This window comes from Homo sapiens, chromosome 15, assembly GCF_000001405.40.
Source record: "Homo sapiens chromosome 15, GRCh38.p14 Primary Assembly".
Lineage (NCBI taxonomy): Eukaryota > Metazoa > Chordata > Mammalia > Primates > Hominidae > Homo > Homo sapiens.
Window position 1 is genome coordinate 93,267,820 of NC_000015.10, and position 25,363 is coordinate 93,293,182.

The 25,363-nt window shown below is 45.9% G+C and overlaps 1 long non-coding RNA gene across 1 annotated transcript in view, besides 5 other annotated features; it reads left to right on the plus strand.

The window, feature by feature from the left end:
- LOC105370982 (uncharacterized) overlaps window positions 1–25,363 on the plus strand; it is a 171,228-nt gene that overhangs the window by 55,357 nt on the left and 90,508 nt on the right. The window lies entirely within an intron of this gene.
- Window positions 6,343–6,844: an enhancer, noted in NCBI's record as "NANOG hESC enhancer chr15:93817391-93817892 (GRCh37/hg19 assembly coordinates)". NCBI's record gives its function as "activates a minimal SCP1, AML or CMV promoter by ChIP-STARR-seq in naive and primed H9 embryonic stem cells {active_cell/tissue: H9 hESC(naive and primed)}" and the evidence as "EXISTENCE:reporter gene assay evidence [ECO:0000049][PMID:30033119]".
- Window positions 7,572–8,072: an enhancer, noted in NCBI's record as "H3K4me1 hESC enhancer chr15:93818620-93819120 (GRCh37/hg19 assembly coordinates)". NCBI's record gives its function as "activates a minimal SCP1, AML or CMV promoter by ChIP-STARR-seq in naive H9 embryonic stem cells {active_cell/tissue: H9 hESC(naive)}" and the evidence as "EXISTENCE:reporter gene assay evidence [ECO:0000049][PMID:30033119]".
- Window positions 8,073–8,573: an enhancer, noted in NCBI's record as "H3K4me1 hESC enhancer chr15:93819121-93819621 (GRCh37/hg19 assembly coordinates)". NCBI's record gives its function as "activates a minimal SCP1, AML or CMV promoter by ChIP-STARR-seq in naive H9 embryonic stem cells {active_cell/tissue: H9 hESC(naive)}" and the evidence as "EXISTENCE:reporter gene assay evidence [ECO:0000049][PMID:30033119]".
- Window positions 9,831–10,713: an enhancer, noted in NCBI's record as "NANOG-H3K27ac-H3K4me1 hESC enhancer chr15:93820879-93821761 (GRCh37/hg19 assembly coordinates)". NCBI's record gives its function as "activates a minimal SCP1, AML or CMV promoter by ChIP-STARR-seq in naive H9 embryonic stem cells {active_cell/tissue: H9 hESC(naive)}" and the evidence as "EXISTENCE:reporter gene assay evidence [ECO:0000049][PMID:30033119]".
- Window positions 10,714–11,595: an enhancer, noted in NCBI's record as "NANOG-H3K27ac-H3K4me1 hESC enhancer chr15:93821762-93822643 (GRCh37/hg19 assembly coordinates)". NCBI's record gives its function as "activates a minimal SCP1, AML or CMV promoter by ChIP-STARR-seq in naive H9 embryonic stem cells {active_cell/tissue: H9 hESC(naive)}" and the evidence as "EXISTENCE:reporter gene assay evidence [ECO:0000049][PMID:30033119]".

Sequence of the window (25,363 nt, forward strand, 5' to 3'; positions counted from 1 at the left end):
TTTTGAAGGAGACAAAAACACTCGGTTCATAGCAAAGAGGATAAATACTGTGGCCAAGGTTTCTCAGTGAATAAGCAATGGAACAGAGTCTCATTCAATGAGCCATTTATGGAACACCTGCTCTGGCCCGGGTATGGTACAAGCTTCAGGGACAGAGGCTGGAATGTGACCAGACATAGGACTTCAGTGGAGCAATAGAAGTGAACCAAGGACTATGTGAGGCAAGATGGGCATTGCGGTGGGCAGCCCACCAACGTGGCTCAGGGAGTGGGTGGGGTGGGTTGTCCTTGACAGACTCTAGTTTAAGGAAGGCTCTTTGAGGAGTGACAATTGGCGTAGCTCTGGAGGATGAGCAGGAGTGAGGAAGGCTAAAGAGGAAAGAGGGCCCCACTTTGCAAAGAAAAAAAAAAAGTTAGAGAGCCACACAGCACATTTGGGAAAACACCATGCCTGACTCAGGGTAAATGCTGAATCATCTTTGGGCACTAACAGAACAGATGCCCAGCCAAGCTTCTCAACCCATTTCCAGGCTCTGCGGAGGGCGGGATCTTTGTAGGGTGTAAAGTGGGGAAGGGCTGCACAGATTTGGGGTTTGGGAAAGTGGCTGTGGCTGGATGTGGAGGATGGCTAGGAGGGACAGGGGAGGTAGCACAACTCAGTTGAGGTCATTCTTTCCATGATTTTCATTATTATTATTATTATTATTATTATTATTTGTTTTTGAGATGGAGTCTTGCTTTGTCACCCAGGCTGGAGTGCAGTGGCGTGATCCTTGGCTCAACACAACCTCTGTCTGCCGGGTTCAAGCGATTTTCCTGCCTCAGCCTCTCAAATAGCTGGGATTACAGGTGTGTGCCACCACACCCGGCTAATTTTTGTAATTTTAGTAGAGATGGGGTTTCACCATGTTGGCCAGGCTGGTCTTGAACTCCTGACCTCAGATAATCCACCCGCGTCAGCCTCCCAGAGTGCTGGGATTACAGGCGTGAGCCACTGTGCCCGGCCAAGACCATGCTTTTCAGAAGCACTCTTCATTAGAATTTTTAAGTTGGAAGGATATTTAGAAATTCTTTTCTTTAAGCCTCTTTGATCAAGATGAGGAACTTGATACCAAGGTGGCTAGAGGAGGCACCACTAACCTCAGATAGTTAGTGGTGGCCCCGGCCAGGACCCAGGCCTACTGACTCCCAGCATATATGTTTTTGCCACACTGCACCAGTGTCTAGAGACATCATTGTTGTCTTAGTCTGTTTATGTTGCTATCAAGGAATACCCAAGGCTGGGTAATTAATAAAGAAAGATGTTTCTTTGACTCACAATTCTACTGGCTGGAAGGTTCAAGACTGGGCATCTGGTGAGGGCCTCAGGCTGCTTCCATGTGTGGTGAAAGGCAAAGGGGAGCCAACGAGTGCAGACAGCACACGGCGAGAGGGAGCAGGAGAGACGGGAGGGAGTGCCAGGCTCTTTTTACAACCAGCTCTTACCAGGAACTAATGAGAGTGAGCACTCATTCAGCCCCGAGTAAGGGCACTCATCTATTCATGAGGACTCTGCTTCCATGACCCAAACCCCTCCCATTAGACCCTTCTTCAACACTGGGGACCAAATTTCAACATGAGATTCAGAGGGGAGAAACATCCAAAAATAGCAGTCTTGGTGGAGTAGGGGTGGTGGTGGAGGGTAGATGACTATGGGCATCTTGTGGATAAAGGCCAGGGAAGCTGCCAAACACCCTGCGGCTCCAACCACCAGGAATTATCCAGCCCCAAATGTCAGTGGGACCAGGACTGTGAATCCCTGCCCAGACAGTGGAATTTTCAAAAAGCCCTTAGTTGTTGGGAACCAACTTCAGAACGGGGGGCTGTGGAGAGTAAACCAAAGTCAGTGGGACATTTTACTTGGCCTAGGCCTCTCAGAGAGAGACAAGAAGCCTCATGAAGGTTTACTAGTAAAGTTACTAGTAAAGGTTGCTATTCAAAAAAATCATTTTTCTTAAAGGTAAGTTTGTTCACTGTAGAAATAACCAAGTAAGAGGAAAGGGAGAAATAAAGTCACCTGTGGACCCACCGCAAGAGATGCTCATGGTGCACATTTCGATGTGACTTTCTGTGTTTTAGACACACGTGCACACAACACAGGCACACATAGATATTTTATGCACCTAAGTAACAACCATTTTTTCAATGGCATCAAGTCCGGGAACTGGAGGGCCCCTTGGAGCTGGGTGGGTGGATGTGGGTGAGCGCATTTGGACAAGCTGAAGCAGAGCCCTGTTGACGTATGTGAGCAGCAGGTGGAACATTCGGGGATGGGGTCTGGGGTCTGGCAGGGAGATGAGGAGGAGGAGGGTAGGAGGCACGGAGACTGGCTCTGTGGGGGTCAAGGGAGGGCTGAGGGGAGGACCGCAGGTAGAGTCATCCCAGTAGAGGGACTAAGGAGAGCGCATTATGTCTGAGGAACTTTACAGCAAAGTATGCAATGGAAAGCCTTCTCTATTTCCTCTACAAGAATGTCCAGTGTGCTTGGAATTCTTGTAGAAAACGTGTGTGTGGGAGGTGGATTTGGAGGGGTCGGGGAGGTCTGTGCTCCAGCGGGTTGGGGCAGAGTCCACCCTGCAATCAGGGACTGGATTATAGAGTGATGGATATATCTGCATGCATGAATATGTGTGTGTATTTATTACTAATATGAGATTATATCCAGTCTGTTTTGTAGAGTGTTTTTCGCTTGACGATATATTGTGGATATCTTTCTATGACGTTAAATATGCCACTACATTGTTTTAAATAGTTACACAGTTGTCTATCAAAGGGATGTACTATCATTTAATGAATTCCTTAAATTTGAACATTTTTCATTTCGAAGTATTTATTCATAGGGCCAGTCTTTCTAGGTGTATCGTTTACAGAGGGGGTTCTCAGCCTTGGCACCATTGACATTTTGGAGCAGAGAGTTCTTTGCTGTGGAGGAGGGGCTGACCTGGGCCCTGTAGGGTGGTCGGCAGCTCACATCCTCATGGCCAACTGGGGACAGAGCTGCGATTCATACTCAGGCAAGGCCAATGTGCTCTCCAGGGCACTTTGGCTCTCGGGGTGTGGCTGTAGGGCAGGTGCCACTAATGAAGTCCCCTGGGAACCCTCGCAGTGCCTGTGAGTTGCTTGGTCTTTCCACCTGAGCTGGGGGGAGGCCTGACCAGTGCCCACCTGTGCTGGGAGTACTTGAGCTGGGGCAGCAGCAGAGGCTGCTGGTAAATCCTTGCTTGTTCTGCAGGCGGATGCAAGTGCCATTTGTTGATTTCTCAGCAAAATCCTCATCAGGTCAATATGTGCAGGCGGAACTCTGAAAAAATCACTGGCTGGCCTTGGGCTGCAATTCAGTCTGTTACTTTCTGTGAAACAGGTCTTTTAGAATCACAATGGGTTGGGGCTCCCTGGAAGCCCCTGTGAAATGCCCACTGAGCTGGGGAAGGCCTGGGCTGACCTATGAGCTGTTTTATTGTCTTCCTTCCTACTGCACGTTGTGGCTCAGTAAGTATATACGTGGAAAGATCTGCCTGAACTTGGCTGACCCCAGGGCCTCGGCAGAAGAGAGGATTGCCCCTTGGCCCCAAGGCCTTAGCCCTGAGGTCACAGGACGGGGGCTACGAGACAGAGGTGGCCCTAGTGATTTCTAGTTTTGGGTTTGTAGCCGTGAACATTTTCCACACTCTGCAGCTTCTTTCAGTTTCTTTCTGACAGCCTGGGAAAGGAACTGTCAGACTTAGAGATCTGCTATGAAAGGGCTAGAGAGAAAATTCTAAGGAACCAGAAGTGGTTTTTCAATTTTGAAATAAAAATGTCAACTAATAAGAGTGAGAACTCATATATCCCCAAGGAAGGGCAGTAATGTAGGCAAAAAAAAAAAAAAAAGGAAGAAATGCTGTCAATATCTCACCCTCACCCTTTAGTGAGAGAGGGGTGATGTGTTCTGGAGTGTCCGTTAGGTTGTTTTTAAAAGAAAACCCCTGAGAGGCAATCTCTGTGTGAGTGGAGCTTCCCGAACAGCTACAAGCTTCTTGAAATCTCATCACATCACAGGGGTTTGAATTTAGGAGTTTATCCAACTGGGCCCATGGAGAAGTTTGTGGAGGATCGTGGAGAAAGTAGCAGGTAGGGAAGAGAGTCTAAGAGTCTTCAGGTGACGGGCACCAACCTGGCCCTTGCGCTGCTGCTGTTTGATTAAATGTTACTCCGGCAGCAGGCAGCGGGGTTGGAATGAAGCAGGGAATTTGGAGTCAGGGCATCTGGGTTCCCCCTCCCCACAGTTTCTAATTGTGCGGTGAGGGCAAGGCCCTCAGTTTCTCTGAGTTTGTTTCTCATCTATAAAATGAGTACCGCCACACAGATATGAAAAAGAAATTAAATAATGCTCCTCAAGCTTCTGGCTGTGTTATGCAGGAGGAAGGTTATGCTCAGAGTGGTTGGAAACTTGGACCCACTTTCAAGATAAGTGATAGAAGAATCTGGATGAATCAAGACCAGGAGGAGGGTTGGGGCCCTGTGTGGGGAATTGCTAAGGTAGCCAGGCTTGGAGGCCCAGGGTCCACTGCTAGCCTTGTATGCCGCTTATTCATTCGTTTATTTATTATTTGAGACAGGATTTCACTGTGCTGCCCAGGCTGGAGTGCAGAGGTGCGATCACTGCACACTGAAGCTTTGACTTCCCAGGCTCAGTGGATCCTCCCACCTCAGCCTCCTGAGTAGCTGGGACTACAGTCGTTCACCACTGTGCCTGGCTAATTTGTATATTTTTTAAAATATTTTTTAAAATTTTTATTTATTTTATGTATTTTTTTTTTTTGAGATGGAGTCTTGCTCTGTCACCTAGGCTGGAGTGCAGTGGCACGATGTCAGCTCACTGCAAGCTCTGCCTCCCGGGTTCACGCCATTCTCCTGCCTCAGCCTCCTGAGCAGCTGGGACTACAGGCACCCGCCACCATGTCTGGCTAATTTTTTTTTGTATTTTTTAGTAGAGATGGGGTTTCACCGTGTTAGCCAGGATGGTCTCGATCTCCTGACCTTATGATCCACCCGCCTTGGCTTCCCAAAGTGCTGGGATTACAGGCGTGAGCCACTGCACCCGGCCAATTTTTATATATTTTTTGTAGAGATGGGGTCTTGCTCTGTGGCCTAGGCTGGTCTCGAACTCCTGGTCTCAAGTGATCCTCCTGCTTTGGCCTCCCAAAGTGCCGGGACTACTGGTGTGAGCCACTACACCCAGCCTGTATGCCCCTTACTAATGTGATCATTCACTTATTATTGATTACTGACCTATGTACAAAGAAATAATAATTGGAGGTGGCTAACAATAAAAGGAAGAAAGACAGTAAAATGATAAAGAAGCAAAGATAAGAGAACAAGAACCAAATGGTAGTAAGGACAACTATCACAGTTCTTAACTAAGGACAGCAGAAGCAACTTAGCAAAAATATCAAACTCTGAACTCTCAGGAGTCAAGACAAAAGGGATATGTAGCACGTCACTTCTGCTCGGGGATTTTTGTGGTATTTTTGGCCACCCAACATCTGGAGCCTTTTTCTCTGGGAATTTTCCTCCCTCCGTAGAAGCAGAAATGGCTGATACTTGTTCTTGGCCTCCCTTGCATCCAGGGAGCAGAAAAACAGCAGATATTCCATCCACAGACAAGTGGGATTGGGGATGGCCTATGGGAAATGCTCTCTGGTGTATGGCTGTGATAATTGCATAGTTATGGGGGTGCTGGTGGTGGCAAGAGGTGGCCCATGCTGGTGGGGCTGGTGATAGAAGCCGTCTGCACTGGCTGCTATGGTGTGCTGTCCCCTGCACTGCTGTGTGTCAGGACTGGGGTGTTAATCTATTCAATCCATATACATAAGAATTTTTTTCTAACAAGTTTTAATTTTTGAATAATTTAAAATTTACAATGAAATGAAAAGAATAGCACAATGAACATCATATTTGCCTTTATCCAGATTTAATGATTTGTTAACATTTTTCCATGCTTGCAGTCACAAGCCCTGTCTCCACACACACGCGTATGCACACACACACATATTTGCTGAACTATTTGAAACTGAGATGCCCACATCATGATCCTTTACCTCTGAATCCTTCAGCATGATCTCCTAAGAATGAAAACGTTCTCCATCTTCGTAATTCCATTGTCACCTTAGGAAAATGAACAATTTTATAATACGTAATATCCAGTCCTTATTCAAATTTGTACACTTTCCAAAAATGCCTCATGTCTTTTAGTCTCTTGAAATCTAGAACAGTCCCTCTCCCTTCCCAGTCATTGTCTGTATTTGACACACTTTTCAAATGCTTTTAATTTCAGATACTTTAAATAAATTTATTTTCTGCTCAAATCAACTCTAGTCTCTTCTGTCACTTACAAATCTGGCCTCGTGCACACAGCTCCTCTTACCGAAGGAGCATTTCCACTACAGTCATAGGAAGATTAACTTTCCCTTGCTCAAAAAGGAGTAGCAGTTCCAACAATGGGCTCTGCAGTCAGACCGCCTGGCTTGGAATTGAATCCCCCTGCTAACCAGCTGGGGGAGGGCAAGCTACTTAACCATGATGAGGATCAGCTTCCAGAATTGTGAAGCTGCATAATAATAATGGTCTCTATTGCGTAGAGTTGTTGAGAGGCTTAAACGAATTCACAGGTGTAAAGGGCTTAGACCCGTCACCCAGATGCACTGTAAGTGTGGTGTAAGGGTTTACTGTAATGATGCAACCTCTTCCTGGTACATTCTCCCAATTCTTTGCTTCCTAGGCAACTTGTTTTCTTGGAAAATAGACCCAGCGGAAGACCCTACTCAATGATCTGTTTTCCACTGTAGGGTGATAGTACCAGCTGTCTTCTTTGTAAATGGTGCTTTAGAGTTTTCATTAACAAGGAGAGGCCGGGTGTGGCGACTCATGCCTGTAATCCCAATGCTTTGGGAGGCTGAGGCGAGAGGATCCCTTGAGGTCAGGAGTTTGAGACCAGCCTGGGCACCAAAGTGAGACTCTGTCTCTACAAAAAATTAAAAAATTAGCTGGGTATGGTGGTGCACACCTGTGGTCCCTGCTGCTCAGGAGGCTGAGGTGGGAGGATCACTTCAGCCCAGGAGTTTGAGGCTGCAGTGGGCTATGATTGCACCACTGTACTTCAGCCTGGGTGACAGAGGGAGATCCTGTCTCCAAAAAAAAAAAAAAAAAAAAAAAATTAGTAATAATAATAATAATAAGGAGAAGCAAGTACATTGTACTTAGAAACAACTTTTCCTGTCTTTAATCACATCAGTAGCTCTCATGCACTTAGTGCCCACCTTGGGCCAGACGCTGTGTACATATCATCTTATTCCTCCTCATAAGGGCTGTGGGGACATTATTATTGCCATTCTACACATGTGAAAACTGAGGCTCAGAAGTAAAGTCACTTGGTCAAGTTCAAGCAATCACTAAGTAACAGCACCAAAGTTAGAACTTCAATCTGCCTGCCAAGCAAAGCGCTTTCCAGTAAACCGTGTTGACTGGATCCCCAGGTGTGGTGGGTTCTAGTGTTTTTGGCAAATCGCCCCCCAAATCGCCCATTAATAAGCATCAGTGTGGAAGGGCCTTTTCTCCGTGGACAGGAAAACTGAGACCCAACCAGCTGTCATTGCGGCAATATCTGCTCTCCTTTTAGAAAGAGATGGGACAGGCTATTCTCAGGAAGACACTTAGCTGGCTTCTTCGGCTGCATCAACTCAAATCTGCCACTTTGGAAAATCAAGTTGAATAGGAATTGGGAGGGATTGCTGCTGCCTGGGGACCCAGAGCACCTCACACATAAACTCGGGTTTGCAGGGAGATGGCTGAATAAAGAAGAGAGGCGAGATTTTAACCTTTTGTGCAGCCAGATCTTTTTTTTTTTTTTGAGATGGAGACTTGCCCAGGCTGGAGTGCTGTGGCGGGATCTCGGCTCACTGCAAGCCCTGCCTCCCGGATTCACGCCATTCTCCTGCCTCAACCTGCCGAGTAGCTGGGACTGCAGGTGCCCGCCACCACGACTGGCTAATTTTTTTTTTTTGTATTTTTAGTAGAGACGGGGTTTCACCGTGTTAGCCAGGATGGTCTCGATCTCCTGACCTCGTGATCTGCCCGCCTTAGCCTCCCAAAGTGCTGGGATGACAGGCGTGAGCCACCGCACCTGGCCTTGTGCAGCCAGATCTTTAGGCCATGCATGTGGCCTGATTCAGCGAGAAACGGGATGACATGAACTGAGGATGAGGGCGGCTGAGCGAGCCAGTTCTTCATAGTCACATTCGGTTTAGCAGCTGATCATGACTTGCAGGTTTCATATCTGAAGATGATTTTCACTTTACCCAGTATTTTCCACAGGAAAAATTAGGGGAACAAAACCCAAAAGCTTTTACTACAGAATATTTTTGTTTCTTTTTAAAAATGGGATCTAATGAGTAATACGTGATCTCGTGATGTTATTAGAAGGTAGGTAACTGGAAGTAGTAGAGGCATTCACAGTCAACCTTTCGGAGTATTGCAAGCTTATTTTTTACAAGCAAAATTATTTTCTGCAAAATCCATTTCATGTGAATACTTAAAATAGAAGCCAATAATAGTTGGGATCCCCTGGATCCCCACCCTGGATCTCACATCGCATTTAGATGTCACGTCTCCTCAGCCTCCTCTTGGCTCTGGGTAATCTGAGCACCGAGGCTGGAGCCCTGCTCACTGCCTGCTTCCTCCCGAAGCCTCTAACTTTCTTCTTGGAACCTCACAGCTTTGTGGAACACTGTTCGAGAGCCCCTGATATACTCCAACACCTATTTACTAAAAATGCAGATGTGAAACGAGTCATTTCAGCTTACATTTAGAAAACAGTCTCTTTCAGGTTGGCGCAGTGGCTCACACCTGTAATCCCAGCACTTTGGGAGGCCGAGGCAGGCGGATCACCTGAGGTCCGGAGTTAGAAACCAGCCTGACCAACGTGGAGAAACCCCGTCTCTAATAAAAATACAAAATGAGCTGGGCGTGGAGGTGCATGCCTGTAATCCCAGCTACTCAGGAGGCTGAGGCAGGAGAATCGCTTGAACCCAGAAGGTGGAGGTTGCAGTGAGCGGAGATCACGCCATTGCAATCTGGGCAACAAGAGCGAAGCTCTGTCTCAAAAAAAAAAAAAAAAAAAAAAAGAAAGAAAAAAGAAAAAAAAGAAAACAGTCTCTTTCAAACCTCCCGGTGAGAAGAAATCCAAATAATTCATGTCAATATTCCGCCCTCGAGGAGGTGGAGCGTAACTCCTCTCTCCTTTCATGTGGGCTGTGCATCGGGACTTCCATCCAGAGAGTACAGTGTGGAAGGAGGAACTCCAAAGGAGTACGGTGGAGACACCTGACAAACACCACCTCAATCAGGTGGTCAAGGTTAAGAGCAACGAACCATGCTAACTGTACATGCCCTGATACGATGGGATGGGAATGGCTCTTCATCTCTGAGGTCTTCCTCCCTAAATCCCTCGCCCAAGTCTAATCACCAGGAAAACATCAGAGCAATCCCGATGAAGGGAGAGTCTGCAGAATGCCTGATCAATACCTCTCACATTTGAAAAGCCATCAAAACCAAAGACACTCTGGGAAGCCGTCAGGGCCAAGAGGAGCTGAAGGAGGCAATGCCTAAATGTGATGTGGTGTCCAGGGTGGTATCCTGCAAGAGTGGAGGGACATTGGTAGAAACTAAGGCTATCTGAATAAAGTATGGATGTTAGTTAATAATAACAATAATACATTGCTATTGGTTCATTAATTGTAATGAATGTACCATACTAACAGAAGATATTATTAGCAGGGGAAAATTGCTTGAGGTTTATGGGTATATGGGAACTCTCTGTACTATTGTGGCAGTTTTTCTGTAAATCCAAACCATTCTAAAATTAAAAGTTACTTTTGAAAAAAAAAAGGTTTATTCCATTACCTAATAATTTGTGGTGTAGGAAAAGTGTTTTTTTTTTTTTTTTTTTTTTAAATTCAGACTAGTCCTTTCTGGTCATACATGGAGGCTAAAGGGGTTTAAAATACTCTGATGGGAGTCTAGACATTAACTTATACAATCCATATTTCTCACTTCACCAGCTTGGGGTACAGAATAAGGTCATATCTTTTAAAATACGCATAATGCTAGACTCCCATTTGCCTTAGGCTAACTGGAGAACGTTATTTTTCCATGCCCTTGGCTCCTGGTGGCATGGTGCTGTCCTCCCGAGACAAGTGCAGTGTGGCCCAGTGAGTCCTGTCACCATCGCCGTCATCGTGGGCCTGCAAGAGCGGAGAAGCCAGCCAGCCCTCCCCATGGCAGCTGTGCAGCTTGGCTTCAGGCCTGGTGCTTGATGGCCTGCGATCCTTCAGTTACTCACCTCTCCAGGCCATGAACACAGCCATTTCTCAGGGGTCAGGGTGGCTAGGTCAGGAAATCTCCCCAGCCATAGCCATTTGAAGTCCTTGGGGAATTCAGAGTGAAAACATTGTTGTCCTTTCCCTCACTTTGAAACTTTCATGCGCGTCGGAGTGAAGAGACCACCAAACAGGCTTTGTGTGAGCAATAAAGCTTTTAATCACCTGGCTGCAGGCGGGCTGAGTCCAAAAACAGAGTCAGCGAAGGGAGATAAGGGTGGGGCGGTTTTATAGGATTTGGGGAGATAAAGGAAAATTACAGTCAAAGGGGATTTGTTCTCAGGTGGGCAGGAGTGGGGGTCTCAAGGTGCTCAGTGGGGGAGCTTTTTGAGCCCGGATGAGCCAGGAAAAGGACTTTCACAAGGTAATGTCATCAGTTAAGGCAAGGACCGGCCATTTTCACGTCTTTTGTGGTGGAATGTCATCAGTTAAGGTGGGGCAGGGCATTTTCACTTCTTCTGTGATTCTTCAGTTACTTCAGGCCATCTGGGCATATACGTGCAAGTCACAGGGGATGCGATGGCTTGACTTGGGCTCAGAGGCCTGACACAAACCTGTTGATTTCCTGGCCCAGCTTGAGTGATATTTCTCCTCTCTCCATCCCCAAGGGGACACATCACTTGATTTCCTGGCTACTTTTGCTCTGTTGTGGGTGAAGAAAGCCACTGCGACTGCATGACTGTGACTTAGATGGAGAGGGGAGGATCAATCTCTTTTTAATAGACAGAAGAGGGAGTGAGCTGGAGAGGCAGGCAGCGAGAGGGAGGCAGTTCTTTCACTGGTAGGGAAAGGACTTGTGTCCTGGGCCTGGATCACCCAGCTCTGTGACTCTCAGTATTCTATCTAATCTTCCTGGGCCTTAGTTTTCTCATCTGCAAATTGGGGAGAGGGATAGAAAAATTGGAAGAGACAAGCCTGACTGTGCAGTGGGTTTTCTTTCCTTTTTTTTTGAGACGGAGTCTCGCTCTATCTCCCAGGCTGGAGTGCAGTGGCGCAATCTCAGCTCACTGCAACCTCCATCTCCCAGGTTGAAGCGATTCTCCTGCCTCAGCCTCCCGAGTAGCTGGGATTACAGGCACCTGCCACCACACCCGGCTAATTTTTGTATTTTTTGTAGGGACGGGATTTCACCATGTTGGCCCGGCTGGTCTGGAACTCCTGACCTCAGATGATCTGCCTGCCTCAGCCTCCCAAAGTGCTGGGATTACAGGTGTGAGCCACTGCGCCTGGCCGTGAAGTGTGTTTTCTGTTCCATCTAGCAGTGTATCCAGGAGCCAAAGCTGGAGCCTGGGCTCTGGCACCCCCTCACCCCCACCCCTCACCCCTACTCCCACCCGAAGCAGTGGTGCTCATCCCCGTGCCACAAGCTCAGCCTCAGTCATGGGTGGGGAGAGAAAAGCCTTGCTCTGACCCCAGCTTAACCCTGGCCCCCATTCAGACGTATTGTTGCTATTGTTTTCTGGGGTTTGCTTCACCGGAATACTGCCCCTTCATGTTCTAAGATCCTTCCCAAGGAATACGCAAGTCCCTCCCCCACCACAGTGCACATTCACTAGATAGGGGAGACTTTACTTTTTTTGCTTGCAAAATCCAAGTCCTTTCACGTTTCCTCTCCAAAGTGATGAAAAGGAATTCGGCTGCCAGGACAAGTCACAAGGAAGATGAAAGCAGCTTTCCTGAGGTTCAATTCTTCCAGAAACAATCTTCCTCTTCCCTCTTCCCCCAACTCCTCCCCAACTTTCAATGCACCCAAGTGTATATTGTTTTTAAATGTCAAAGGGAAAAAAAAAAGAAAAAGAGAGTGAGAGAAAACCCATTTGCTCCTGAATGTCACATTCTGCTGAGGGAGAAAAGGCAGAAAGAACAAGTGTTGGAATTAAAGAGAAGCAGATTTTTTGTCTCCTTTGCCTTATTCAGGTCTTCGGGCCGGCCCCCTTTGCTCTCTCCTCTTCCTCGTTTCCCTCCCCTAGGCCGCATTGAAATGTCAAACACGGCAGTTTGCAGCTGAAAGGGGGTCCCTGGTGGGAACAGCCTGCCCTTCTAACCTGCAGGACCGAGCTGTTCCCTGCTCGCCCTTGTGTTTGCTTTTCCCCTTTCTTCCTCGCCGGCTAACGCCAGCAGCTGTTGTTTGGGACGGAGGAGGCGAAGGGGGAGGGAAAGCCTTTCCACCTGGGCGTGTGAAGGAGGCGCGTTACAAACAACGCTGGGCCCCTTCTTTCCCTCGAGTTTTTCCAACCTCCGGTTGACACAGAGATTGTCCCCTGGGGCCTTTTCACTTTCCGCCTGGGAAGAGAAAGGCCGGGGAAAGGAGCTCCCTGTACCCAGAGTGCCTGCCTCTGCCTGGGTCTCCTCTCTCCCCTTTCGGGGATTCTGTCCAGGCACGTTGGAGGTCAAGACAAAGCGGTGCCAACGGGCCGGGCGTGGTGGCTCACGCCTGTAATCCCGCACTTTGGGAGGCCGAGGCGGGCGGATCACGAGGTCAGGAGATCGAGACCATCCTGGCTAACAAGGTGAAACCCCGTCTCTACTAAAAAATACAAAAAATTAGCCGGGCGCGGTGGCGGGCGCCTGTAGTCCCAGCTACTCGGGAGGCCGAGGCAGGAGAATGGCGTGAACCCGGGAGGTGGAGCTTGCAGTGAGCCGAGATCACGCCACTGCACTCCAGCCTGGGCGAGGGACTCTGTCAAAAAAAAAAAAAAAAAAAAAAAAAAAAAAAGTGCGAGCGGAAGTAGAAGCGTTTTCCAACGCCCAGAGTTGGTGAAGGTCTAGGGAGAGGATGTTTCCCTATATTGCTGGCGAAGGGGGACATTGGTCCAGCCTTTCCAGAGGGCTTCTTGGTAACATCAATCAACACCCTTCGAAAAAGTGCAAATGCTCAATTCAGCAATTCCAGGTCTAGGGATTTTCTCCTAAGAAATAATTAGGCAAAGAGCCAAGAGTTATGCACAAGGATGTGTGCCTCAGGAGTGTTTATAATACAGCTCAATTGGAAACACTTTTCTCTCTGTCCAGGATTAAAAAAATGAAGGCATGTTATCTCATGGAATAGTATAGGGTCATTGTAAATGATGATGTAGATTTATATTTGTGTATGGTAAATGTGTTACAGGAAAGGGTCCCGATCCGAACCCCAAGAGAGGGTTCTTGGATCTCGCCGAGAAAGAATTCAGGGCCAGTCTGCGGTGAAAAGCAAAACCAAGTTTATGAAGAGAGTAAAGCAGTGAAAGAACAGCTACTCCATAGACAGAGTAGGACGTTCCTGAAACTAAGAGGAGGAACGTGTCCATCCTAGGTAAAACGGTTCTATATGTGGGGAGATGTTCTCTGCTACAAGGGTTCGTGATGAAGGATTAATTTTCTTAATTACAATATTTTGCAAGAATCGATATTATCTTTAAAGCAAAATTAGGAATGTTTTTGTTCTCCAGATATCAAGATATCTGCATGCTCCCAAATCTGGGTCTGTTTAGTAAACATTATTAATTTGTTCCCTTAACTGTAAACATTTAGAGGCTAGGAATGCCTAATTTTCTGAGTGCAGCCCGGCAAGTTCCAGCCTTATTTTCCTGGCTCTCACTCAAAATGGAGTGGCTGTGGTTTGAACGCCTCTGACAAATGCACCTGTTAGCAATAACGTAGGCACACACTGAGAATGGCCTTGTATGGCAGACACACCTGAATGTGTGTTCTGAGCTAGGGAATCCGGGAGTGGGAAACACGGAGACTCATTTTTTGTCTATGAGGAACATCTGAGCCTCTGGCCCGTCCCGTAAAACATAGGCCATACAGAAGACTGTGGCTCCGAGTTTTGGGTTGCATGAAGGTTGCCAGGAGGAGGCTGTTGGGAGGGAAGGTACTAAAGGAAACTGCTACATAAACTGCATGCCTTTTGCAATCGGTTACAGTTCTCCTGTCCAGCCCACCAGCACTGGACTCCCTCCTCTGCAGGTAAGCCCCCATGCCTCGTTTTCTGGCTCTGAGTCTTTTCTTCAGCCTCTTGAATCTGGTGCCTTCCCCACTGGAGTCAATAGGGGTTTGGCATGATAATTTGCTGATGTGAAAAGATGTCTACAAAAAAACAAGGGAAATAGCAAGATATACCATGTATAGTTCTTTCTCATTTTTTACATTAAATAATATATGTGAATAGAAGAGTCTGGAAAGATAGGCACCCAGATGTTGATGGCTGGGTGGTGAAATTATGGTTGATATTTCTTGTCTTTATAATTCCTAGTGATTTCTCTTTTTTATCATTTAATAAGGATCCTTATTAAGGATCATATAATAAGGATCCTTATTATAATCAGAAAAAAATCAACAAAGTTATTACTTTCCTAAAGAGTGTGAAGTGTGTAAATTAACTTTTGCCCCTTAGGTACTGTAATGCTATCTTTTTCCTTATGTTGTATGAATAAAAATTTCCTAATAATTAAAATGTTCATTTTTATAACATGAAACCAGAGATTTATTGTTTTTGGCATCTGAGAAGGAAAGCATCTAATCCCTAATAGATCACAGAACACACAATGATGTTCTGTGATTTCTTTCCTTCTCTGGTCGCCTGTTATTTAACTTTGATGGTCCTTTTATAAAGAATGATTGTCATCTTTCCTCCTTCACCTCAGCTCCAAGCTGGTCCTGCATCACTTCTCTCTGCTCTGTCCCCAGCTGCACTGTCCCACCTACTCAATGTCCCCCAGCCGCTTCCCCCAGCCAGTCTGCTGTTGGCTTTTCTGCCATTTTGTTGTGTACAACTAACTCCAACCCTCACATCAGGACATTTCAATCGACATATTTAAAAGGAGGCTGACTGTCTTGGACAGCCCAGGACATGTGGACATTGCTATAAAATACACCCACCTTGAATATTGAGAGGTTCCTGTAAGGCTTCCAGTTTTTCCTTCCCAACATGACTTCCTAAATGCACCAAAGTTACTATTTGAATTTTATATGATTCTGCCCTTACAGTCAAAACTGGGTCCCTTTACCTACATGTCCCATGGGAAGGTGAGGCCTTGGCTTTGGATAAAACATATCATGGAGGTGGAAGTTCTGACTCTGCTCTTCCAAATACGAACCGGTGTTCCTAGGAAACACACTGCAGGACTGACCTGCATTTCCAATTTGTGCCTAAGTGGGAGTGGCTAGCTGAATTCAGGGAAAGACTTGAAGTTAGCACTTGAGATATTGGCCGCCATATTGGAAAGTTGGAGGCATGGCTTGGATGAGTGTGGCTGACTTTTGAAGCCCATGCCAACCTCTCCAGTTCGGCAGTTTGAAGACTGTCCTTTCACATTTGGTAATGGGGAAGAGAAGGAAAGTAGGAAAAAGGCAGCCTTTATTTGTGCTTGTTTTTAGCTGAGGTGAATGTATCTGAGGGTTGATGATGCCCTTCAAATGGCTTTGCTGCTACTGGCATGCTGCTTTGCTCAGGTGCAGAGAATCACTTGCATAGAACAGTGTGTGTACATGTAGATATCTCTTGGCCATCTTCTTGCTGGGGAAATGCTCCTCGAGAACCATGGAATGGAAAGATGAGCCAAGGAAATCCTCTTCATCTCCTGCAAGGATCCCCCAGCCATAACCCCCTCAGGGTTCAGGATGACTGAAGATCATCCTGAGTGCTTGGTGTGTGCCTAGTAATGCAGATACAGTTCAGTGTGGGGAGGACAGGGCTGGAGGGAAAGAGCCACCAGCCTCTGCTTCTCTGCCAAAGAACAGCTTTATGGAAATAAAAGACAGCTGCGTAGGAAGCAGCCCGGCACTTCCACGGATGCTTTCATTTGTGAACAGAGGCCGTGCTAAGCAACAACTAGAAGGAGTCTTGGGCATCCCTCACTGGACAGAGTACAGTTCTTTGTTCTGCCCCCATAAATAAGGGACATTTTCTCTAGGAGTGTGATGTATTCCAGAAATTTGTTGTTAGTGAGGGCTTTCAGTTGTCTTTTCAGATTCTCATGGTTCTTAGGTCTTTATAATATCACATCTTGAGAAAAAGTATAGGTTTTGAAAATCTAGCTCTAGTGATTAGAAAATTTATAAGCTTAGTCTTCAAACTTCACTAGTTTTACATGGGACTGTAGTATCAGCCTCTGGGGGCTGTAGGGCTTAAAAGGCTGGTTTAATCCGGGCGCGGTGGCTCACTCCTGTAATCCCAGCACTTTGGGAGGCCGAGGCGGGCAGATCACGAGGTCAGGAAATCGAGACCATCCTGGCTAACACGGTGAAATTCCGTCTCTACTGAAAAATACAAAAAATTAGCCGGGTGTGGTGGTGGGCGCCTGTAGTCCCAGCTGCTGGGGAGGCTGAGGCAGGAGAATGGCGTGAACCCGGGAGGCAGAGCTTGCAGTGAGCGGAGTTCGCGCCACTGCACTCCAGTCTGGGCGACAGAGCGAGACTCAGTCTCAAAAAAAAAAAGTCTGGTTTCATTGATGTGGCCCTGGCTACCTTTCTAGCCTTATGTCATTTATTTCACTATTTCAAGCCAAATTGATGTCTTTCTCTTCCCTACGTCAGTAGGCTCTTTCACACCTGTTTTAGCGCTTCCTGTCCCTCTGCCTGAAATATCACTCCCTGACGTGTTCGCTTCTCAAACCCGGTTCATCCTTCAAGGACCAATGGAAGTGTTGCCTCCTCTGTGATATCAGCTTTGCCCCTGCGTCTCTGCTTCTGTTTACCTCCGCGGGAGCTCATCATACACTCTCTGTTTTGGGAAAGTCTTCATGAAAACTGTTCCTCTCCCCTACTAGACTCTGAACTTCTTGAGGACATGGCAAAATATCTGTTGCTGGATGGATACACAGATAAGTCAAGTGCTACACCCCTGGCAGCTGCTGTTTTATTTTTCTGCCTTTCTCTAAGTTCCCATTCTGAAGCGTCCTTAATCCCAGATGAACTAGATTGGCTTAATCACGTATGTATACAATCAGTCTATCAGGAGTAGGTACTCTGATTCCCTGTCTGCTATTTTTAGTGAGCCCATTAGATAAGTGATCTTCAGGTTGTTCAGGTGCAGGACATTTGGAAGTCCCTGCATTGTTTGGGGGAGACTATGAAATATTGATACAGTTGTCTTCGTCAATGAACTATAAATAATTAGTTACATAATATATATTATGTATATAATATACGTTTGCAACCATGGGCAGATATAATGTGTCCATAAAAAACAAATGAAAACCCAAATCCTTTCTAAATTCAAATTTTTAAATGAATCATAATTGTATCCCTCCAAGTTTTAAAATCAACATTCATTTGCTGTTTATTTATTTATTTATTTGATCTGTGAGTGCTCACGAGTAAAGAAGCAATAAGAGTGATAAATACTTAAGAAAAAAATACTGGAGAACAACTTACAACTGAGAACACTCTATTCATTAGCCATTACTCAATTTTGACAGCTTAATTGTCTTGTTTAGTAAAGTTTATTGAGTACTTAGGATGTGCCAGACACTGCTAAGGGCTTTGTATGGCTATCCCATTAATCCTCATTACCACCCTAAGATATGGACATCTTTATAATTTTCATTATACAGATGAGGAAATAGAGGCTTAGTGTCAAAGGTTAAATGCTTTCACAAAGTAAATGTTTTCAAAAAGTAAAATCATGACTCCTCATACTAACGTAAAATGAACACAAGTCAGAGATTTCATTGAACTCGTTAATGAATGAGAGAACCAGTAAGATGTTACTGAAACACATCTGCATTTCTACGGACAAGAACAATTTGCCTTACTATAAATTTTCTGTAATTTAGAGAATTGTAAAAGAGCTTTAAGTTAATGCAAGGTGGAAGTAACCCAGTGGACACAGGAGCCAGAACACCCAGTTATCTTGTGTGCCCATTTCAAAGTCTTCCCCGGTTCTTCACAGGGTTAGGAAAAGTCACTGGAACAAGATGCAAACCCAACCACCCAGAGCCAGTGTCCCTAACACCTGCTCTGTTGCTAGAAAGATTTAAGAACTATTAAGTTGATGCAAAAGTAATTGCGGTTTTTGCCATTGAAAGTAATGGCAAAAACCGCAATTACTTTTGCATCAACCTAATACAAACTGAAAGAGAGATTATCAGCTCTTTTTTGGAGTTGCTTTTCCTCCTATTGTTTGATTTATTGATGTAACTATTTTTCTTCCATTTAAAAATGCTGCATCACATATGTTTAGGTTTTAGAGAATAAAAGGAACTCACTAAATTTGAGTCTTGTGTTAAATGCTTGAGGGAGATACTAGTAATTCCCATTATGCAGATGAACAGATAGGTTTATAGAGACACTCCAAGTTGCAAGGCAAGTGGAGTGGAGCTGTGACTGAAACCCATGTCCCTCCCATCCAGGGCCCATCATCAGCTAGGAATGTGTAAGTCACTATTTATTCTAACAGAAAGAATTTGCATTGTCCCCAGCTTCTGGAGGCTGCATCATTTGCCATGGGGTTGCTGAGTTGTGCTGAGGATTAGGGGATAGAGCAAAGAAAATAGGATCGGAAAGAAGCAATTTTCCCCCCTCTGTGCTCAGTGGACCCATATTTGTCTGCATGTGGTAGCCCAAAGTGACATAAGTGTTCTGGACCCAGCGCTTGACTTATGCCAATGTTCAGATATTGAGTAGGGCCTTGATGTTGGAGTGGCAGTGTGCTTTTTCAGCTGTGCAGGAGCTGGATTTCTAGGACACAGCAATTCTCTGAAGGTGTTAAGACTGCTGTCAACGCTGAGTGAGGTGGCTCATGCCTGTAATCCCAGCACTTTGGGAGGCCGAGGCAGGCGGATCACCTGAGGTCAGGAGTTCGAGACCAGCCTGGCCAACATGGTGAAACCCTCTGTCTACTAAAAATACAAAAATTAGCCAGGCATAGTGGCGGGCATCTGTAGTCCCAGCTACTCAGGAGGCTAAGGCAAGAGAACCGCTTGAACCCAGGAGATGGAGGTTGCAGTGAGCCGAGATTGCACCATTCCAGCCTGGATGTTAGAGCGAGACTCTGTCTCAGAAAAATAAAGGGGGCTCTCAAAATGCCACAGGCCACTGCATTTAGTGCATCACATTAGCTATTAGTTATCCATCCGAAGAAACTAAGCAGTGTTTTCCAACACTCACTATACTGTGGCCATACCCTAGGACTAGCATTTATGAACCCATATGTGGAGGCTTCCTTCAGGTTCTTCAAGCCTGGCTCCATCCAGATGACCTGGATGCTTGGATACAATGCAGTTTTGTCAACAGCCCTCCAGAATTAATCAGAATTTCAGCAGGATGAGGGCTGAACATACCTCTTTTCAAGATCCAAATATACTTGGGCTTCCCAGGTATAAACGCTGTGTGCTGGATTCAGGCAGGCCGGAATGTGCATCCTGGCCTCATTGCGTGATATTGGGCAAGCTAATTCAGCTCTTGAAGACCTACTTTCCTCATTTGAAAAATGGGGATAATTATAGTTGTGGGGAGTGGACGAGGTGATCCACGGGAAGCATTGGCACTGGGCCTGGCACCGGCTATGTTCCCAGCCAATGTCAGCTATTAACGAATTTCATTGATTCCGAGATGCTCTTTTTTGCATATTAACATCTTTGAAATCAGTCTGCTTCTAAAAATTGATGGCATGTCATGGTCTCAGTGGTAGCATTTTACCCCCTTCTTAGGGTCTCTAAAACAATGGTGCACCTTACAATAGACAGTGTCTAGACTTAGTGAAATACAGGGTGTGTAAGGGTCCCCGGGGTGCAGTATTGATGACCACAGGGCCTCGTGGAGGAGTGCTGGAAATTTGGAAATGTCAGGTCTGCCTAAGCTGTGTCCAGCTCCCCAGTGTTCTGCGCACACAGGAGTAAGTCAAAGGGAAGGTGAATAAACAAGGTGGGTGGGTCTGCTTCTCTTGGATAGGGGCTTCATGATTGCAGGTGCCCTTGCTCAGTCTCCTTCTCTCAGGTGTTGCTCAGTTTTTCTTTCCAGGCCAGGGCAGCTGAGCTGGGCAGGGTGGGCGGGGTGAGGGCTTTGCTCACCTCGTTCAAGGTCCTCCTCAACAAGTTGATCTCCAAGCTTGCTTGGGCCACTTGGCTTCAACAGGTTCTATTATCCTTTTCCTTTGGGTGCCCTTTCAGGGAATGATTTTGAAATGGAACCCAGGGTCCCGAAGGAGACAGCAATATCCCTAATACCAGCTTGACCCAAGAGGGCAGATAAGGAAGACATTACCCCTGCTCCCCACCAACCACCTCTGCCTCACTCTTGTTCCGTTCAGCCACATGATCATGACGGAACTCGGCAGCGAGACAGCCGTGGGGGAAGGTGTGCTTCTTGTTTTTATTTTTAAGGTGATCCTGTAGGAAGGAATCGGTGTAATGAATGGTTTGCTCCCTTTGAAAAAGAACCATCTGGGTTTAGATTTCATATTTCCTATTTCAAACCCTTTCAATTAGACCCTTGGGGTTTCCCAGGCCTGCCTGGGGGAGTCTTTCTCCAAGCTTCCTTTCCTTCCTTTCCCAAACCCTGGGACAAATGTTTGTTTTTCTCACATATTCATCAAGGCCCAAGGCCTTCAGAAAGTACTGAGGCGCTGGGCTTTGACATGGGAAGCTGGAGCCTGTCTGGGGAGCGTTGAGCCCGAGAACAGTACTTGGCAGGCTTGCTTCCTGCCCCATGCTGCCATTCACTGTGGACAGCTTGGGGGTGGGGACGGTGCAGTGGGCGGGGGTTGGGGGTGCTTGGCACATTTGCTGAATCCACTGGAAGCCCTCAGTTTGGAGAGGGAAAGGGACTTTCTCATGGATTTCCAGCTCCAAGAGCATCAATCAGCCTCAGAGCAACACTAGTGAGGAAAGGAATTGTTTATAGCAGGAAAGGTGATTACAAAGGCCACCCGCTCACTGTGTATCTTTTGTTCCTGTTGGCACCTTGACCAGAATTCTGGGGCAGCCCTCGTGCAGACTTTGCCTGCCTGGGTCTGTGGATCCTGGAGGTCGAGGAGGAAGGGAAAAGATGCCCAGAGAAGCAGGGAGAAGCCCGGCTCTGGAGTCTATACTGTGTCCCATCTCCCTCTTTCTTTCCTTCTTTTTTTCTCTTTGAGACGGAGTCTCGCTCTGTCGCCCAGACTGGAGCGCAGTGGCGTGATCTCGGCTCACTGCAAACTCCGCCTCCTGGGTTCACGCCATTCTCCTGCCTCAGCCTCTCGAGTAGCTGGGACTACAGGCGCCCGCCACCACGCCCGGCTAATTTTTTGTATTGTTTTTGTAGAGGCGGGGTTTCACCATGTTAGCCAGGATGGTCTCGATCTCCTGACCTCATGATCCCGCCTGTCTTGGCCTCCCAAAGTGCTGGGATTACAGGCGTGAGCCACTGCGCCCGGCCCTAATTTTTGTATTTTTAGTAGAGATGGGGTTTCACCATGTTGGCCAGGCTGGTCTTGAACTCCTGACCTAAAGGGATCTGCCCACCTCAGCCTCCCAAAGTCCTGGGATTACAGGCGTGAGCCACCGCACCAGGCATGTGAAACTTAAATCAGGTGTCAAGGTCTGCTGGGCACTTGGTTGGCAATTCATACTATTACTCCTGACCTGCCTTTCCCCCTTCGCTCTTGCCTCAGAGGGTAAGATCCATACCTTACATTACTTAAACATGATTTTTGAAAGGGTAGTTAAAGTAGAGGAATGAGAATGAGGAAAATGAGAAGGAAAAGATGTCATTTCCCTGCACATTTACTCCCTCCCACCGCACCTTCAAACCCGTTTACATTTCACAAACGTTACTAGCCAGAAGATGCACATCTGTGCCTGGAGGCTGCATTTCCTCTCCTGAAGCTAGCCTCTGATGGAAGTCTCCGCTCTGCCGGTTGGTGGTTTTGCTCGGCTGAGCTGTGGGCTGTGGGGTTAAAGTACCCTTGCCAAAGTGAAGAGTTTTATCTGCCTTCCTGACAGCTGTGAGAAATTCTGATTGACAAGAGGGCAGATTCTACACAGGGGGTTGGGGGAGACAGGTCCCCACGTGTCAGTTTTGAGAGGCACTACTGGTGTCAGATAGATTTCATTTCTGTATTGGAAAGTGCTTCTTTAATATAGAATTGAAAATATTCAAGCCTGTAGCAAGGGACAGTTGCTCCAGGGCAGAAAATGGTCTGTATAAAAATGCCCTCCCAGCTGCAGGGTGGAATGCATGGACTTGACCCTAATATGGAATAATTGAATTTATAGGAAGAACATTGCCCTGTGAATAGCTCTTGGAAGCTGCTGGGCAGAGATGCACAGGGTTTCTAACATGCAAATGCGGCTGAGTACGAAGCCCCAGAATAAAAATCCCATCCATCCATCATGTTATTAACAGGCGGGTTCCTAGACTGATTTTGAAATTTGTCAGTAGGCAAATTAATTACGCTCTTAAAAGGTGATCAGAAGCATCCATAGGTGTCTTTGACCTTTGACAAGGAACACACTGCTATGGGTCTAATTGTCAGAATAATTGTTTTCTCCCCTGCGAATGACTGGCGGCAGGTGCAGCTCTGTGCATTGGTCTGCATTTAATTATCTACAGGATCTGAGGATGGGGGTTTTGTGGGATATGCTTTTATAAAATAAGCTTTTATAGTGTAAAAATACCAATAACTCTTCCTGGCTGGATACATTTATTTTAAACAAATTACGGTGGCTGCATATAGGCATAGAGCTTAGGTGCTCCAAGAGGGATATTTACCTTCATGATGTGTGGGTTTTGTCTTTATTTGTCTGAGTGATATTAACAACAATACACAGCCTTTCTCCAACGGCACTTGCTGCTTGTAGGCAGGGTTTTTGTGGGCATTGTTGTAATAATCGGGTAAGACATTTCAAAATATAGGCTAAAGGCCAAAACAGAGCAATTGAAGAAAATAAATCCATGTGTGGAAATGAAATCCATTTGGGCTAAAAATGAAGGGTGTGTGTTACAGTGAAAACAAGACAGGTATCAAAATCAGAATCACTTGAATTTATCCAGCACTTCTACCATTCATTTGGTAAATTATTGGTGGCAACGAACATGTGCTAAGCTAGGGGCTGGGGATATATGGTAAACTGCTGTCCCGGAAACAGCGATATAATTGTACAGATGGCTGTGAAACTGAAGGGCAGGGTGCAAAGAAAGGGTGATACAGATGGCTGGAGGTGGTCAGAAAAGGGGTCCTCTGATGAGTAGGAATTAACTAGATGAAGTGTGTTTGTGTGTGTACGTGGTGCCGGTGCAGGGGATGATAAAGTGAGGATGGTGTACTTGAGGTTCTGAGGCGGAAAGGTGATTGGTGTATGTGTTAGTCTGTTAAGGCTGCCATAAGGAAGTACCACAGACTGGGTTGCTTCAACCGCAGAAATGGACTGTTTCACAGTTCTGGAGGCTGCAAGTTGACATCATGATGTCATCAGGGTTGATTACTTCTGAGGCCTCTCTTTTTGGTGTGCAGGTGGCCATGTTTTCCTCCTGTGTTCACATGGTGTTCCCTGTGTATGTGTCTGTGTCCAAATTTCCTCTTCTTGTAAGAACATCGGTCATATTAAATTTGGACCCACCTTAAGCTCTTCATTTTAACTCGGTTACTTCTTTAAAGGCCCTCTGTCCAAATTCAGTCCCATTCTAGGGTACTAATGGGTTAGGGCTTCTACATATGAATCTTGAGGGGACAAGATTCAATCCATAACCCTCTATAAGGAAACCGAATGCAGATTTTCAAGATTCAAAATTGTGTGCTAATTATAAACATAATTCTTGACGGAGGTTATAGAGTTTAAAGAAATTTAATTCTATCCACTGGAAATTTTTATGAATGGGTTGCAAACCTCAACTCTACTAGAGAAATGCTGGAAAGAAAAAGAGCCTGATGAAGTCCTCATCTTACTCAGAGAAAGGCAAACTTTGGTAATTAGATTAATAAGATGAAAAATTTCCTTATAAAACTTGAAAGAATAGGGGAGTGATTGCACTACGTTGAGAATGTACTAAATGCCACTGAATAACTTTAAAATGGTTAGTTTTACATTACGTGAATTTCACCTCAATGGAACAAAACAAACAAACAAACAAACAAACAGCCCAAAAAACTTAAAGGCAGCCACTGGTAGAACTCTTAAAAGGATTTAAAGTCTACAACCCTTGAGTATTTAAAGTCTACAACCCTAGAGTAGATTAAAAAACAAAATGTACGCTGGGCGCGGTGGCTCACACCTGTAATCCCAGCACTTTGGGAGGCCAAGGCGGGCGGATCACCTGAGGTCAGGAGTTCAAGACTGGCCTGACCAATATGATGAAACCCCATCTCTATTAAAAATACAAAAATTAGCCAGGCGTGGTGGCATGCACCTGTAATCCCAGCTACTCAGGAGGCTGAGACAGGAGAATCGCTTGAACCCGGGAGACAGAGGTTGCAGTGAGCCGAGATCGCACCATTGCACTCCAGCCTGGGCAACAAGAGCGAAACTCTGTCTCAAAAAAAAAAAAAAAGAAAAAATGTAGCTCATAAAAGGAAATGAGAGGAAATAGATACAGCAGGAAAGACTTGACTTAAAGAACCAAAATGTACAAAAGTTATAACAGGCATGAAACAACTTATCAGCCAAGACAATAAATATAAATGATTAAAACTCTTTTACAGAGGCTTTTGAGTTGTATTTCAAAAGCAGCGAATTATATTCTGTTAACAAGGAATACATCTAAACTAGAACGTGGCAAGATTGAAAATAAAATAAACTAACATTGATTAGGCAAGCACAGATTCCAGGAAAGCAGGGTTAGCAATGTTACTTTCCAAAAAGTGATCTTCATGGTAAAAAACATTACATGGAAAACATGGAGTCATTTCATATGGATAATGTGTATATTTTATAATACATGTACTTTTTGAGTGTGTATAATGTGCCAGTTACTGTGTGAGGCACTTGTCTTGGATTATTTCTCTAAAGCCCT